The sequence below is a fragment of the Homo sapiens genome, chromosome 9 (genome assembly GCF_000001405.40).
Source record: "Homo sapiens chromosome 9, GRCh38.p14 Primary Assembly".
Taxonomy (NCBI): Eukaryota; Metazoa; Chordata; class Mammalia; order Primates; family Hominidae; genus Homo; species Homo sapiens.
In genome coordinates, this window is record NC_000009.12 from 29,255,053 (window position 1) to 29,270,747 (window position 15,695).

Consider the following 15,695-nt stretch of genomic DNA (forward strand, 5'->3'; position numbering starts at 1 on the left):
TACTGTAGTGCCTCATCGAGGACTTTTTGAAAATATAAACATCGTAAATTTGCTCTTACCTTTATCAATATACAAATTTCTTTTCTTCAGAAGGAAAAACAACAATAGGTTACTTATGTATGTTTGCTTACTTCTTATGAAAACTCCACTTCCTAATTATTAATTTATGTACTATGTTTATCTTAATATTCAGTAATTCTATTCTTTATAATGAACTTTACCAGTTTTTATCATGGAAAATTATCAGTCTTTGATCATTAAGATTTCTTTTTAAAAGAATTAGAAACCTCCTATCAACAAAGACAAGTTTGCTCTATGTATCAGAAACCCCCAGTACAAATAGTCTTAATAAGAAAAGTATTATCTCATGTCAGAAGAAGTCAAGGTGTAAGACGTGATCAAGGTATAAAATATGGAAGCTGTGACTTAGTTTCTCTGCAGTTCTGTTAGCTCTACTCCAATTGCAGGTGATACAGCTAGAGTTGGGAATGTCTATTAGAAGGAAGAGTTCATATTTTCTTATGTCTTCTTCTTAGCAATGAGGATCTACTTTCCAGAAGTCCCACAGAAAACTTCTCTCACATTGTGCTGTCTTGCATTTGGTTATATGCCCCTTTCTAAATGTAGAGTGGCAAGGAGAATATGATTGGCTTAAGCTAACCATTTAGCCAACCACAGATGATTTGGGCAGCAAAAAGTATATATGAGGGTGGATGTCCTTGTAAAAAGTATAAAATTTCTATCTATTAGTTCTTTCAAAACTAAAGGGCAGATGGCTTTCATTTGGGCACTAAAAACCATACATGAATGATGGAATCTTTGCAATTTTAAGAGTATATGCAAAATAGCAATCTTCTACTGAAAACTTGTTAAGTAACTCATGTTCTAAAAGATGCAATTTTAAAAACTTTGATTGCATTAGAATTGATTGGATATCTAATCATGTTTTGTAATTAAATTATCTCCTATCAATGAAGATATATAATACCAAAAGATTATAAGAAACTATTTAAATTTCCCTCAAGCTTCCTTTATGCTCAGATCACTCACTCTTTCTATTTGGTCTCCAAAAGGTAAAAATAATAGCTGCTATAATGTAGCCTTATAACTCTTGTTACAAATAGTGATTTTAATTTTTAGTTAGTTTGATGATTTATAGTACTTATGAAGTCTTACTTCTTCTACTTCTGGAAAGATATAAGAAAAATTCACCATATGACCTCTTATTTTCCAAAGAGTTTATCACTGGCAATGGGTGGAGGAGGATTGATGTTTTAGGGATTCACAAGATGGAAAATATTCATTCATGATAAGTACCTTTGCAGGTCAAATGGTCTGGTGATACAGTAAGAAAGTCCATTTATCTTAGTCTTACTAATCATTTATCAAGCTATTTCATCATGAATTTATATTATGGTAGAATAAAAGTTAATTTCTGATGGGATCTTGTTTCCTAGAAAGATACTCTTGGAAATGCTGAGTTAAGGAGTGGTGAAATGTAAGTATTAATAATCACAGAAGGAGGATTTGGCTTGGAAGTTTTTGTAGGTTGAGTCTCTGTAAGCAGAAGTGGAGACAGAGTTTGTGCTGCAAGGTGTTGCTTAGGTTATCAACACCTGTGAAAGGAAAAGGAAGAAGCAGGATTGGGCAAGAGGAGTAGATGAACTGTGAAGCAAGCCTGACAACACCTAGCCTAACTGATGGAGAACTCTGAGCATCATCCCCACATTTGGCACAGGTTGGGTCAGAATTTCTAGGCCCCTATATCTTCACCACGCTTAGTCAGCAGGTGTGAGATTCTTGGGACAATAATGTCTCTTCAAGTGACTCTCTGTAGATGAGACAGCCATTGAAGGGGATGAGAGCTGGAGGCTGTCTGCTGACTGCACTCCCTACAACTGGGAACAAGTTCTTCTTTGAGAAGAGATCTGAGTAGTTAATCTCTGTGTCTACAGTAGTCCTAATTGGGGTTTCTCATATCCTCTTCTCCATATACAACCAGAAAGCTACTCCTCAAGGATTTCTGTGGGCTTCTCTTCCTGAGGAGAAAGTGCCAGTCCTTGCAAACAGCGAGCCCCTAATTTTCAGATTAGGATAGAAACATCCGTTGGCCAAATCAAGTCAGCTATAGTTAATAATTCCATGAGGCTTTTGCTGTATTTGCTAGTAAAAGGTTACCTCTTTGTAGAGCAGAGTATTTAACCCTTCAGAGTACAAATTGCAGGTTCAGAAAGCACAAAGTTCCCCTGTGGGTCATCAGGAGTGAAGATAAACAAGATCGCTTATTTCACCACTTGATTTCTGGACCTGTGTATTTATCCTATTGGGGACACTTTGCCATATAAAATTTTTAATGCATATACTGCATTCTGGAGGAAGGTACCCCATTCTTCAGAATAATGCTTCTCAGGTAGTTCTCTATTTGTACCTTCACAGCCACTCCATCACTCTGGCAGACCAGCACTTCTGGGTAGTGGAGGAAGTGATACATCCAGTGGATCCTGTGGGCATCATTAACTACCACACCTTCTTTGCTGTAAAGTGTTTTCTTGTTTTTTTTTTTTTTTTTTTTTTTTCTGGTGTGATGCTTTGGACACCCATTCCAAAAGATCAGTCACTCCATAAGACCTTACATAGTTGTGTTTGCCGAAGTTCTGTCAGCAAGTGAGGGAAATCCATACTCTAATAGCTGTCTATTCCTATGAGAACAAATGACTGGACCTTCTAGTATGAATGGAGCCCGTTTGGTCTCCTCAAGAAATTTTGTCATGTGGGAAGATAAGAGATGTTCTCTGTTGCCAGTGGGTGGAACATTAGTTGGTAGCAGAAGCTAGATCAGCCTTGCTAGTCTGAAACCCATGTTGTTGGATCCATGCATAGTTTCTATATCTACCACCACAGTCACCCCATTTATATACCTATTATATCCACTTTGAGGTGGCTGTTGCCAAAAATCACAGACAATATCAGGTGTTTATTTAGTGCTCTTTTATGGTTAATGCTTTCTAGTGGCCACTAATATGTAACATAAAAATCTGCACTTCATGCCAACTCTCACATGTTTAATCACATGCTATTCAAGATGTGTGCTTATACTTGACCTTGCATTTTTTTCCCTTCCAGGGCCCTGATCAGCTTTCTAGGCCATTCACTGCTACTCATAAGTGCTTATATATTCTAATCTCAGGAAGCTTCTTTCTCAACACAAAGTATAGGACCAGGGACACTGCCCAAAGTTATGAAGCTATGCCCATAGGAAGGATTCATGGCAGTCTTTCAAGGCCATCTCTAAGTGAGGTTACAGTGCAGCTAAAATCCATTTTTGGCTTGCACCCACATATTAAGCCAACACATTCATAGTCTGAATTTTTTTTTCTTTCAGCTGGTCATATGGGGACCCAACTATGCCAGAGTTGTGAACTCAAGGGCAGGCACTAGGGCAACGATGGTGGATGCCATTGTTGTCTGGGTTTCCTACTCATGCAGCTTTCTTATGCCCTGTGATCCTTCTCGTGTGCAATTTGGGATATACCTCTTCCGTCTTATGCTGAATTTCTGCTAGGCCCATCACTTATAAATTTGTTGGCTGATAGACCCAGCTCTTGACAAGCAGGTCCAGACACATGGTCAGCTGTTCTGTCTATAGTAGAGCCTAAGAGCATTCCACAAGTTGTTTTTGAAAGATATGTAATTGTCTGCTTTATTTGACATGATCTTGCTCCAGAACTCTTGGAATTTTTCAAAAGGCATATGATTTTCTCTGAAAAATGGCATAGCTTTACTCCAGAATCCCAGGGGCCCACATTATGATTCTTACACTGAGACTTGCCACAAATTCCACACTGCCTCTTTTCTACTAGCCATTATATCTCCAGTACCACAAGGTCTGCAAAACCATAAGACTCTAGTGTCAGGGCTACTTTCACTGTAACCTGGATCTGCTGTAGGGCTGTTTTCTGCTGTAAGATCTTTCCAAAGCTAACAGCATTTCATTTCATGCAGTATGTGGGCCTGAGCAGTATTCTTAGTTGTGTAGGATGCTGCCATAAGAATCTAAAAAATGTACCAGTACTATTCTTTGTTCATGGTAGGATGTGCAAAATGCAATAATTTTTCTCTTATTTTGGAGAGGATGATTCAGCATACACCTGTCCACTGGGCCTTTAAAAGTTGTATGGATGTGTTGGGCTCTTCACTCTCTGTAGAATTATTTCCAACCCCTCTGGAGTATGTGTATTTTATTGAGATCTTTAGCATTGTCTTGCTCACTTGGTCTGATGAACGTAATGCCATTGACATAATGGACTAATGTAATGTTCTGTCAGATATCTAGATGATCCAAATCTCTTTAGACTATGCTATTTTATATACACACACACACACACACACACACACACACACATATATATATAGAGAGAGAGTGTGTGTGTGTGTGTGCACGTGTGTGTGTGTGTGTGAACTTAGCCTTGGGGCAAGCCAGTAAATATATACTGTTGTATGTTCCATATGAATGAAAATTGTCTATAATATTTTCAGATTGGGAAAGAAATGAATGTGTTTATCAAATCAGAGGCCAGATATCATGTTTTTGAGGCCATATTAATCTGCTTTTGCCAAGAAATCCATTTGTCATAGTGGTTTCAGTCAGGCTAATACTTCACTTAATTTGAGTAATCTGTCATTTTCCATAATCCATCTATTTGGAATTAAATGGGGAAATGATAGAGACCACACCCCTACTTTGTTTAGATTATTGGGGTCACAAATCTCTATCATGCCTTCATGATAGCCATGATGGCTAAGAGTGGGGCAATTTCAAAGGTGTCCACTTTACTTTGTCACTATTATAGCTTTTATGCCAAGGCAAAAAAAAAAAAAAATGAGGCTTGTTACAAGCTGCCAAATATATAACTCCAAGATATACCTAGGGAGACCAGGGAAGTGTCAATGAGTAGGTCTGTAGACCCAGTGGAACCACTGGATGGCCATGACCTTTGTTACCAGCTGCCAAATACATAACTCCAAAATATACCTATGGAGACCAGGGGGTGACTACAGACTGAGTAGATCTGTAAACCCAGTGGAACCACTGGATAACCATGACTAGGATTCTATTTATTATTTAGCCCACATATGACACCTCTCTTATGGGACTGTAATGATGGTGAAGATTCTGGTTACCAATGCCAACTCAAACCCTGTGTCCAACAGTCTCCAAATGTGTAAGTACCCTCCTTTTAAAAATATATTGGTACCTGAGAAAATGGCCATAGGCCACTTGGAAAAGTAGTGGAGAAATCAATACTGTGATGTTTTTCTTCATAAAAAATTGGAAAAAAATTAGTCAATGAATTCCATATCTGAAAACAGGTTCAATCTAAAATTGTAAAAGGAACCATAATTTTTATTGGGGTGACTTCTGTAAGCTACTTATTCATTCTTATTTCCTCTGATGACAAGGGTGTCTACCTATTTTTGCCTCTCAGTAAATGATTTTCTTTTAATCATGTCAGTAACTCTCTCTACAGGTCAGAAAACCTTGGCTGTCACTCCAAACTTATAATTCATTATAACACCTTGCCTTCTTGTTCTGAAGCAATATCATCTGGCCTCTACTTTTGGGGGGTTATTTTATCCCCAGTGATATCAGTGAGACAAGTTCTGTAACAGCCTCTCCTACCACCAACACTGGCCCAGAGAAGAGGCCACCACTAACATTTTTAATGATACTCATGCTCCTGTCACCATTGCATTCCTTATGGCCTTGATATGGGTGGTGTCTCCAATGGAATACAATCATCTGGAGGATTTTGGGGACATATGTTGTATATCTATTTCCAAACATCCACCCCTTTCAATCTGTTCCTTTACTATTTGCGGTGGCAATTCTGCCCTTTCAACTTCCTTTCTATGGGTCATCACTTTTCCTATGCTTAACATCATCCTAGTAGCAAGTTTGCCACCTCTCCCTGACTCCTTGCCAAGTGTTAAATCTAGTGTCTTCCGGGTGCCCTCCAAAATAAATGCATTCTTCCTGACCTAATTGTATATTCAAATGACCTTTATTAAGCATCTTCAGAATCCATTTCTTTCTTCACTCTCCTGGCCCCTGCCATTCTGTGACAGCTAGGTCTTCCAATTACTTTGTGATATAGTCTTCCCCCTACCATCAAACCCAACAATGCCCCAGGAAGGTCACATTGTAACTTAACCCCAGTTATTAGCATAGAGGCCATGGGTAGAGGTGAGGTCAAATCCTGGGAAGGTAAGACCTGTTATCTTACAGACTCTGCATTTTCTTCCACCATGAGGATAAGAGGTGGTGTGTGTGTGTGTGTGTGTGTGTGTGTATGAATTTGTGTGTATGTGTGCACGTGTGTGCACTTCTTCAGGCTCAGAAATTTGGGAGGAGAATGGGGAGTTAAAATATAATAGAGAAATCCACTCAGACATCATCATCCCATTCGGAGACATCCACCCAAATAGCAAAATCTCAAAATGTCTTAACAAAGGTCCTGACCTTGGCATAATAGACCTGACTTTATCTGTCATTTAACTATCTTTGCAGTTCTGTCACTCCAACATTTATATCATAGACATGGTTCTCGGCTTCCTTTGCTCTTCTGTTGCAGGAAATGAGAGCTTTGATGCAACCAAGATCATTTGGTTTTCACCTTGCTTTTCGATTGCCTTTTACTCACCCTCATCTGTTCTTTATCTTTATGCAATGCATCAATAACATTTATAAACAGCCATTCTATACTAAAACTCATCAGTGTATCCCATCCTACCAGCACCATCCCAACTCACCCCTGTAAACATTTTAACAGCTGGACTACCATTGTGCATCCAGGACAATGTGTGTTCCCCCTACCACCAGTGACAGGGTCCTCATTTAACAGGACACTGATTAATCCAAAAACCTCATCTTATTGTCCACTTTATTGGGCCAGTTTTGATATCTCTGATCTCAATTTGAGTTTCTCTGAAATGGAAGCTGAGACACTATAGGGTTCAAGAGGTTTATTACGTATCAATACCTGCGAAAGGAAAGAAGAAGAACTGTTGGACAGAGGGCGAAGTTGTGATGAAGGCTCTCCAAAGCCTTGGCTAACTCAGAGGGAAACCTGGCAGTGATTCATGCCTCTCCGAGTTGTTCCTCATCAGGCTGAGGTATGTCAGTGCAGCTGAGATAGACCCTAAATGATGGGACAGATGAAAGCCATCTGCCAACTGCACTGTGTATCTGGGCAACAAATTACCTTGAAGGGAGATATAGGTGGTACAATGTCATGTATATACTGGGGTAGAAAAAGCTGTCTAAATGGCATTCTACCTTCTGTCTCATTTTTTTGTAAAGCCAGAATTAAACAAGTCCAGACAGACAAGAAACTGTCTTAATTCTAAATGACCTTAGTAAAGAAAATTCTAAAGTGTATTACCTTCTATTTCAAAACTGCGCTAAGGTAAAACTATGCTTGTTCGAAGAGAGCAACTTTTTGACAACTGGTTCAGAAAACATTTATTTTTCCTTCCTGTCAATGCAGAGAATTATAAGGCTGAATACACTGTGAGTGTAATTATCCAGACTCTTATTGTTAGGTCAACCATCCTGGCAAACTAAGCACTCTGTGTGCCCAGAGACAATCTTTCTTTTAAGAACACCACTAAGTTCCTGCCTAAAGATAGGTAACAGCCTTTCCAAGTGCAACAGAGATTTCATGGAGAAAAAAAAAATGTCAAAATAAATAAATAAATAAATAAATCTACATAAACTGGTGGGTTTTATGAATTTCCATTGTGATTTTCTTTCTACTTCTGACTTTAGTATCAAGTATTCTATATGATTGTTTCATATAAAATAAGGACTACTTTAAAAATATTTACTCCCAAGTATTTCAAAAATCATAACTCACTCTCCCTTTAGGGAGGATGTTCCAGCTAAGAATTTATACCTTGGGTTTTATAAATATAATTTCATTGATTGGGTGGCATTTTGTAATGCAGAGATATTTGTAATTTTTAATTCTTTGTGATTCCATAGCATATGCGAACATCTCTATTTTGTTCAGTTCTGCCTAAACTTTATGTTACTACTATGTGGCACTCATTACATTAAGGGCTGGGAATACAAAAATAAATAAAATATAGACAACACATTATTAGCTGCTCATGAGAATGTTATGTCCAAAATTAAACTGGGCTTGTAGTATACAAGAGAGTGTACATGGCACCCTGAGGTTCTTTCATTAGGAGACTTACATGGAAGAAGTAAGAAAACTTCATTACCTATATTTTATGCAGACCTAGATTCTGTATATTTTATACTGGTCTGTGATTCCTGTGTACATGATGAGACATGAATCTCTGTTATGTCTCAGATGTAGATCTCTAGGCTGGTCTTCTTAGGGTTCAAGTTGGCATATCAAAGGGTCTAATCAAAAAAGAACTGTGGGAGAGCCTGTAGCCAGATCCTCACTACCCTCAAGTTCTTTGGTTCTTGATAGGAAAGGAGAGAACTTTTGTGCCTAGTGTGTCTTGAACCAGAGCCTCTCTCAAAAACAAGTGTAAATGTTAATGGTATAACACAAATTCCATCATGCTTTCTACTTTTTTATATATTATGAGTTAACACATCTATTCATAGGAGTTTTGGGTCATTGATGTTACTGAATTTTCTATTTGGAGCTACACACAGATATAAAGAAATGGAAAGGAAGTCATTCATGCATCTTTTCTGGAATCAATTATCTCAGAGTCTGACTGATTAGTATCTTCAAATGCTATCACAGTTGATTGCAGAACCTTGAGAATAAAGGTATAGGTGGTGCAGGAACAATTATTGTTCTTACTGTGAACTCTGATTTTTTTTTTTCAGGTTTCAGAAGGAAGAGCCTAAAGGAAAATGTAGGTCAAGTGCTTTTATCCTGTGAAACTTTTAGAAGAGCAATCATAAAATCACAGTGACTGGCCCTGATTTTCAGTGATGGAAAAAGAAGAGCAATAGGTGAAAAAGCAATAGACAAGTATTTTTAAGTAGTATTTTAAAATATATAGCAGCAAATATAAGTTTTTTTAAAATTAGGAATATATTTGATTGATTTAGTCTAATTTGACTTTGGCTTATTAAATTTGGCTTTCTATGTTACTAATTCTGGTTACTATCATATTAATGTGTCAAAGTGGGAAAAGAAAAAACTAAAACATATGTTTGTAAGGCATCATGTTTAATGTGCTACAAGTCTCTAATTAACATACAACCCTTCACAAAACAATTCTTTCCAAGCCTGTAAATGTTTAAGAGGATAGGGCTGCTTTGCTCATTACTGTAATTATTGTAAAATCAGGTTTACTAAATTTCTTATTTATAGGTATTATATTAATTTTAAAAAATTATTTATAACAATTTAAAGTACCCTATTATCTCAAAAGCAGATCTTTCTTTTCTAAATGAATTTATATTTCAAGAATAACGTTATTTTAGTTGGGACAGTATCCATTTAGTTAATATTATAATTAAATATCTAATGAAACTTTCTATTGTATTAGAATTGGCTATGATAAATCTGTAATTCCAATACATTAAAATTGTTACAAATATGACTGGAGTATATGTGTGACCTGAAAAGGCAGGCATATCTTGTTTTATTGTGCTTCAGTTTATTGCATTTTGCAGATGCTGCATTTTTACAAATTGATGCTTTATGGCAACCCTGTGTCAAGCAAGTCTATTGTGGCCATTTTCCAACATCATGTGGTCACTTCCTGTGTCACATTTTGGTAGTTCTCACAATATTCAATCTCTTCACTATTATTATGCCTGTTACGGTCATCTGTGATAAGTGATCTTTGACATTATTATTGTAATTATTTGGGGGTGATACAAACTGGACCCACATAAGATAGTGAACTTAATAAATATTATGTATGTTCTGACTGCTCCACTGACTGGGTGTTCCCCCATCTCTCTCCCTTTCCCTATTCACTAAAACACAAGAATACTGAAATTATGCCAAATAATAAATCTACAGAGGCCTCCAGGTGTTTGAGTGAAAGGAAAATTTGCACATCTCTGATTTTAATTCAAAAGCTAGTAATAATTAAGCTTAGTGAGGAAGACATGTTGAAAGCCGAGACAGGCTGAAGGCTAAACCTCTTGAAGCAAACAGTTAGCCAAGTTGTGAATGCAAAAAAAAAAAAAAAGTTATTGAAGGAAATTAAAAATGTTACTGCAGTGAACATACAAATGATAAAAACATGATACAGTCATTGCTGGTATGGAGAGAGTTTCAGTGGTCTGCATACAAGATCAAGCCAACCACAACATGCCCTTAAACCGAAGCCTAATCCAGAGCAAGACCCTAATGCTCTTCAATTCTCTGAAGGCTGAGGGAGTTGAGGAGCCTGAAAAAGAAAAGTTTGAACTTAGCAGAGGTTGGTTCATGAGTTTAAGGAAAGAAGCTGTTGCTATAACATAAAAGTGCAAGGTGAAGCAGCAAGTGGAGATGTAGAAGCTGTATCAAGTAATCCAGAAGATCTAGCTAAAAGAACTGATGAAAGTGGCTATACTAAACAGTCTTTCAATGTAGACAAAACAGCCACAGTGGTCTATTGCAAGAAGATGCTGTCTAGGATTTTAATAACTAGACAGGAGAAGTCAGTGCCTGGTTTCAAATCTTCAAAAGACAAGCTCTCTTGCTAGGGGCTTATGCAGCTGGTGACTTTAAGTTGAAGCCAATGCTTATTGACAATTCTGAAAATCCTAGGGCCTTTAAGAATTATGCTAAATCTACAGTGCCTGTGCTCTGTAAATGAAAAAACAAAGCCAGTATGATGGCACATCTGCTTACAGCATGGTTTACTGAATATTTTAAGTCCACTGTCCATATCTATCCTTTGAAAATATTACTGCTCATTGACAATGCACCTGGTCACCCAACAGCACTAATGAAAATATACATGGAGATTAATGTTGTTTTTATGCCTGCTAACACAATATCCATTTTGTAGTTTATGGATCAAGGATTAATTTTGATTTTCTATGACTGACACTTTAAGAATACATTTTATGAGGCTATAGCTGCCATAGATAGTGACTCCTCTGATGGATCTGGCAAAGTAAATTGAAAACCTTCTGGGTAGGATTCGCCATTCCAGATGCCATGAAGAACATTCATGATTCATGAGAGGAGGTCAAAATATCAACATCATTAAAGGGTTTAAAGAAGTTGATTCCAGCCCTCATGGATAACTTTGAGAGATTCAAGACTTCAGTGGAGAAAGTAACTGCAGATAAGGTGGAAATAGCAAGAGAACTAGAATTAAAAGTGAAGTCTGAATATCTGACTGAACTGCTGCAATCTCATAATAAAACTTGGATGAGGAGTTTCTTCTTATGCTTGAGAAAAGGAAGTGGTATACTCCTGGTGAAGATGCTGTGAACATTGTTGAAACGACTTCAAAAAACTTTCAAATATTACATAAACCTTGTTGATAAAGCAGCAGCAGTGTTTGAGAATATTGACTCCAGCTCTGAAAGAAGTTCCACTGTGAATAAAAATGCTATCAAACAGCTTCACAAATGATAGGCAAATCTTTCATGAAAGAGTCAATAAGTGACACACTTCATTGTTTCATTACTTAAGAATTTGTCACAGAGACCAGAACCTTCAGCAACCACCACTCTGACCAGTCAGCAGACATCAACCTCCAGACAGGACCCTCCACGAGCAAAAACATTATGACTCACTGAAGATTAGATGATACTTAGCTTTTTTTTAGCAATATAGTATTTTAATTGAGGTACTTAAATTGTTTCTTAAATATAATGTGATTGTACATTTAATAGACTATAGCATATTATGTACATAACTTTTCTATGCACTGGGAAATCAAAAGTTCATGTGGCTCACTTTAGTGTGGTGGTCTGGAACTGAACCCACAATATCTCCCAGGTATGACAGCAGCACAAAAATTGTCGGGCTGCAGTAAATTTTTTGGCACTGACTTCAAATTTGAGCCATGTCAGGACATTTTATTTGAATTTTTGGAATGCAAAATGTTTATGAAAATGTTCATGAAAATGTTCTAGTTTGAAGTAATATATTGCATTGTAAGATTTTATTAATTGTAGTGTAATGTTTTGAAAATAGCTTGATTGGGAGAGAGGTATGTGTTGAAATTTGAGGGTATCAAATAGCTGGTATAAACGGAAATGTAAAGGGAGGGACAGAGGCTATATGAACTGGGAAGGCCAGTCATATTTGTTTTACTGATTTCATTATTTTGCCTTTAACTGGCCCAGTAGACAGATATCTGGACACACCTCTTAGAAAATTTGGTGCAATGGAGGGGAGAAAAGGCAATACAGAATAAATGGAGAAGTATTGGGAGAATCACTCTACCTTATCTCTTAGGGTCCCAACTAATTCATTAGAGAATGAAGGTGTTGGACTTGTTCAGTGGTGTTTAACTATAATGTTTCCACACAGTAGCATACCATAAACAGTTATAAAATGTATCACAAGACATTTGCTTCCTAAGTAGTGGGATAATGTTTTAAAGTGTTACGAGATTTTTTTCCTTATCAGTATTTTTCTTCTGCCATGATGATTAGTTTTTGACATAAGGACTTGCCTTACCAATGAGAAGAACAAATACTACCAAGGTCAAATAAGACGTAAGACTTAAGAACAGTTTCTACCATAAAAGAATGAGAAATATAATGTTCTTTTTATGCTGGGGGAATAGATTGCAGGGGTGGATGTGGGGAAGAGGAGAGAGAGGGAGAGAGAGAGTACCAAGTAGTTAGATACAGCATCTTAGCTAATTGATCCTCTGCCCTTCCTTGGGGTTAACTTTTGGAGAAGGAGGAATAGAAAGTACCTGACAAGATCAGATTAATACTTTCTTCTCAAGAAGAAAAAATAAAATAAAGGAGTGTTCTTAGAATTCTGCCCGTACTTCCTCCCATCAGGTATTTTGAGTGAGATAATCAATGCTTACCCTCACATTTGGTGACACATTTGCTCACCTAGGTGTCTTTAGGACTAAAATAACACAGTGTAGCAGTCTTGTAGGAACTAAGAGCCCAGAAAAATAGATAGAGATTTACTAGCATCAAGAATTACCTTCCCTACTTCTCTTCCAACTGCTCATGGCCAGTGAATTTTAATCTCAGAAGTGACTCTTAAAGCTGCTTGTCTCTGCTGAAGGAAAAGCCTTGGCCAAAAACTGTTTTGGTAGTGTTCCCAGTGCTTGGGGCTCTTCACCCAAGGATGCATCCATCTTCACTATCCTGCACATTGAGACTGTCCATTCTACAGGTACACATAGGTCAAGCTGTAATATCCATTGAGAGATCTAATCATACTACATGCAGCCTTCAGCTTCAAACCTAAAAGTACCCATCACCTTTACTAGAAACAATCATCTCTTTTATCCCTTGTAAGAAAAAAATAATGTGTGGGAAGTTTTCTTTGCTTGGAGGTGAAAGCTACAGCTACTTACAACTATATATATACATATATATATATATACACACACATATATATACGCACATATAGTTGTACATATGTATACATATACACCTATAGTTGTAAGTAGCTATAATTCATTTATTTTGATTCTTGTTTCATATTTTATGTTATAAATAAACAATGTATTGTATCTTCCTTCACACAAGTTATCAGGACTTAATTATAAACTCTACTAATAAAGATAGTATGTAAGTGGCACAGGGATAGAAAACTGGCTGATGAAATAGAACAGAAAATCAAGAAGTAAGCTTATGCATTCACATTTAGGTACAGCAGAAGTGGCCTGTCTTATCAGTAAGAAAATGTGGGAGGATTCAAAAAATGGAACAGGAAAAATGGCTATCTTGCAAAAATAAAATCATCTCCAGATAAATTAAGGACTTGAATATTAAAAACAAACTGTGAGCATCTTAGTAGAACATATTGGTGAACATATTTTAAGCACAAAAAAGCACTGACAATATTTGACAATATTAAAATTAAGAAATTTGGCTTGTCAAAAATAATCCTAAGTGAAAACATGTTATAAATGGGGAGAAGTAATCAGCAATAAACACAGCCAACGAGTACATTTTATGACGACTAGCTAAAGAAATACAAATTAGTAGATAAAAATCAACAACTCAAAGAAAAAAAATGGGGCAAATGCATGAAAAGGCATTTCACATCAGAGGAAACACACATGGCTAGTAAACATGTTATAAGATGTTTAACTTCATCCAAAGTGAGGGCAATGTAAATCAAGACTACTATGAGGTTTCACTTTAGTCACATTATATTGGCAAAAATTTAAAAAGCTTGAGTGTATGCAGTGTTGGAAGCCATATACACCTTCTATCTCTTATAAATTGCTTGCGGGGCTGTAAAATGCTACAACCACTTTCACGTTATCTTATCAGTTTAGATGTTGACATATTCTATGAACCAACCAACAATTCTATCTATAAAGCCAAGGGAAACTCAGATGCATGTATACCAGAAGACATGTACAAGAATGTTTATAGCAACACTGTTCACAACAGCAAAACCTTAGAAACAACATGTATGCTCATCAACAGGAGAGTTGATGAATATATTGCATATTTATATGATGGAATATGGAAAAACAATTTGAACAAATTATAGCAAAATTTATTATATAAAAAACATGGATAGTATATTGTGAAATGAAAAATTATCCTAAATTGTTATCCATACTAATGTATCCTTTTTAATAAAGTTAAAAACAAATAAAATAATATACTCTATTGAAACATATAAGTTAAAAAAACATAAAAAGAAAAGTAAGAGAATGATGAACTCAAGAATGCAGATAATGATTTATTTGGATGAAGGAGAAGAGGAAGCAGGTGTGATGGAGGAAGCAGAGGTGAAGGCCATAAGGCCAGAAATGAATTACAGTCAAGAACTTGACCTTTATTTTGGGTAGTATGTTCACAAATGTTTATTAAATTAACGTGAACAATCACATAACTTTCAATAACATATGCATACATACATAAAAGAAGGCCACGTGTGGATCAATTCGATTACTGTTAATCCAAGTCTAGGCACTAAGATCCTTAAACATTTTAGAAAGTAACATGTTTGCTCATGCTGGTTCTCTAAGTCTTTTAGAAAATCAAAATTAAGGGCGGTTCCAAGATGGCCGAATAGGAACAGGTCCAGTCTACAGCTCCCAGCGTGAGCGACACAGAAGATGGGTGATTTCTGCATTTCCAACTGAGGTACCGGGTTCATCCCACTGGCACTTGTTGGACAGTGGGTGCAGCACAACGAGCGTGAGCTGAAGCAGGGCGAGGCATTGCCTCACCCAGGAAGCACAAAGGGTCAGGGAATTCCCTTTCCTAGGAAAGCAAAGCTGTGACAGACAGCACCTGGAAAATTGGGTAACTCCCACCCTGATACTGTGCTTTTCCGACGGTCTTAGCAAACGGCACACCAGGAGGTAATATCCTGCGCCTGGCTCAGAGGGTCCCATGCCCACGGAGCCTCACTTATTGCTAGCACAGCAGTCTGAGATTGAACTGCAAGGCAGCAGCGAGGCTGGGGGAGGGGCGCCTGCTATTGCTGAGGCTTGAGTAGGTAAACAAAGCAGCCAGGAAGCTCAAACTGGTTGGAGCCCACCACAGCTCAAGGAGGCCTGCCTGCCTCTAT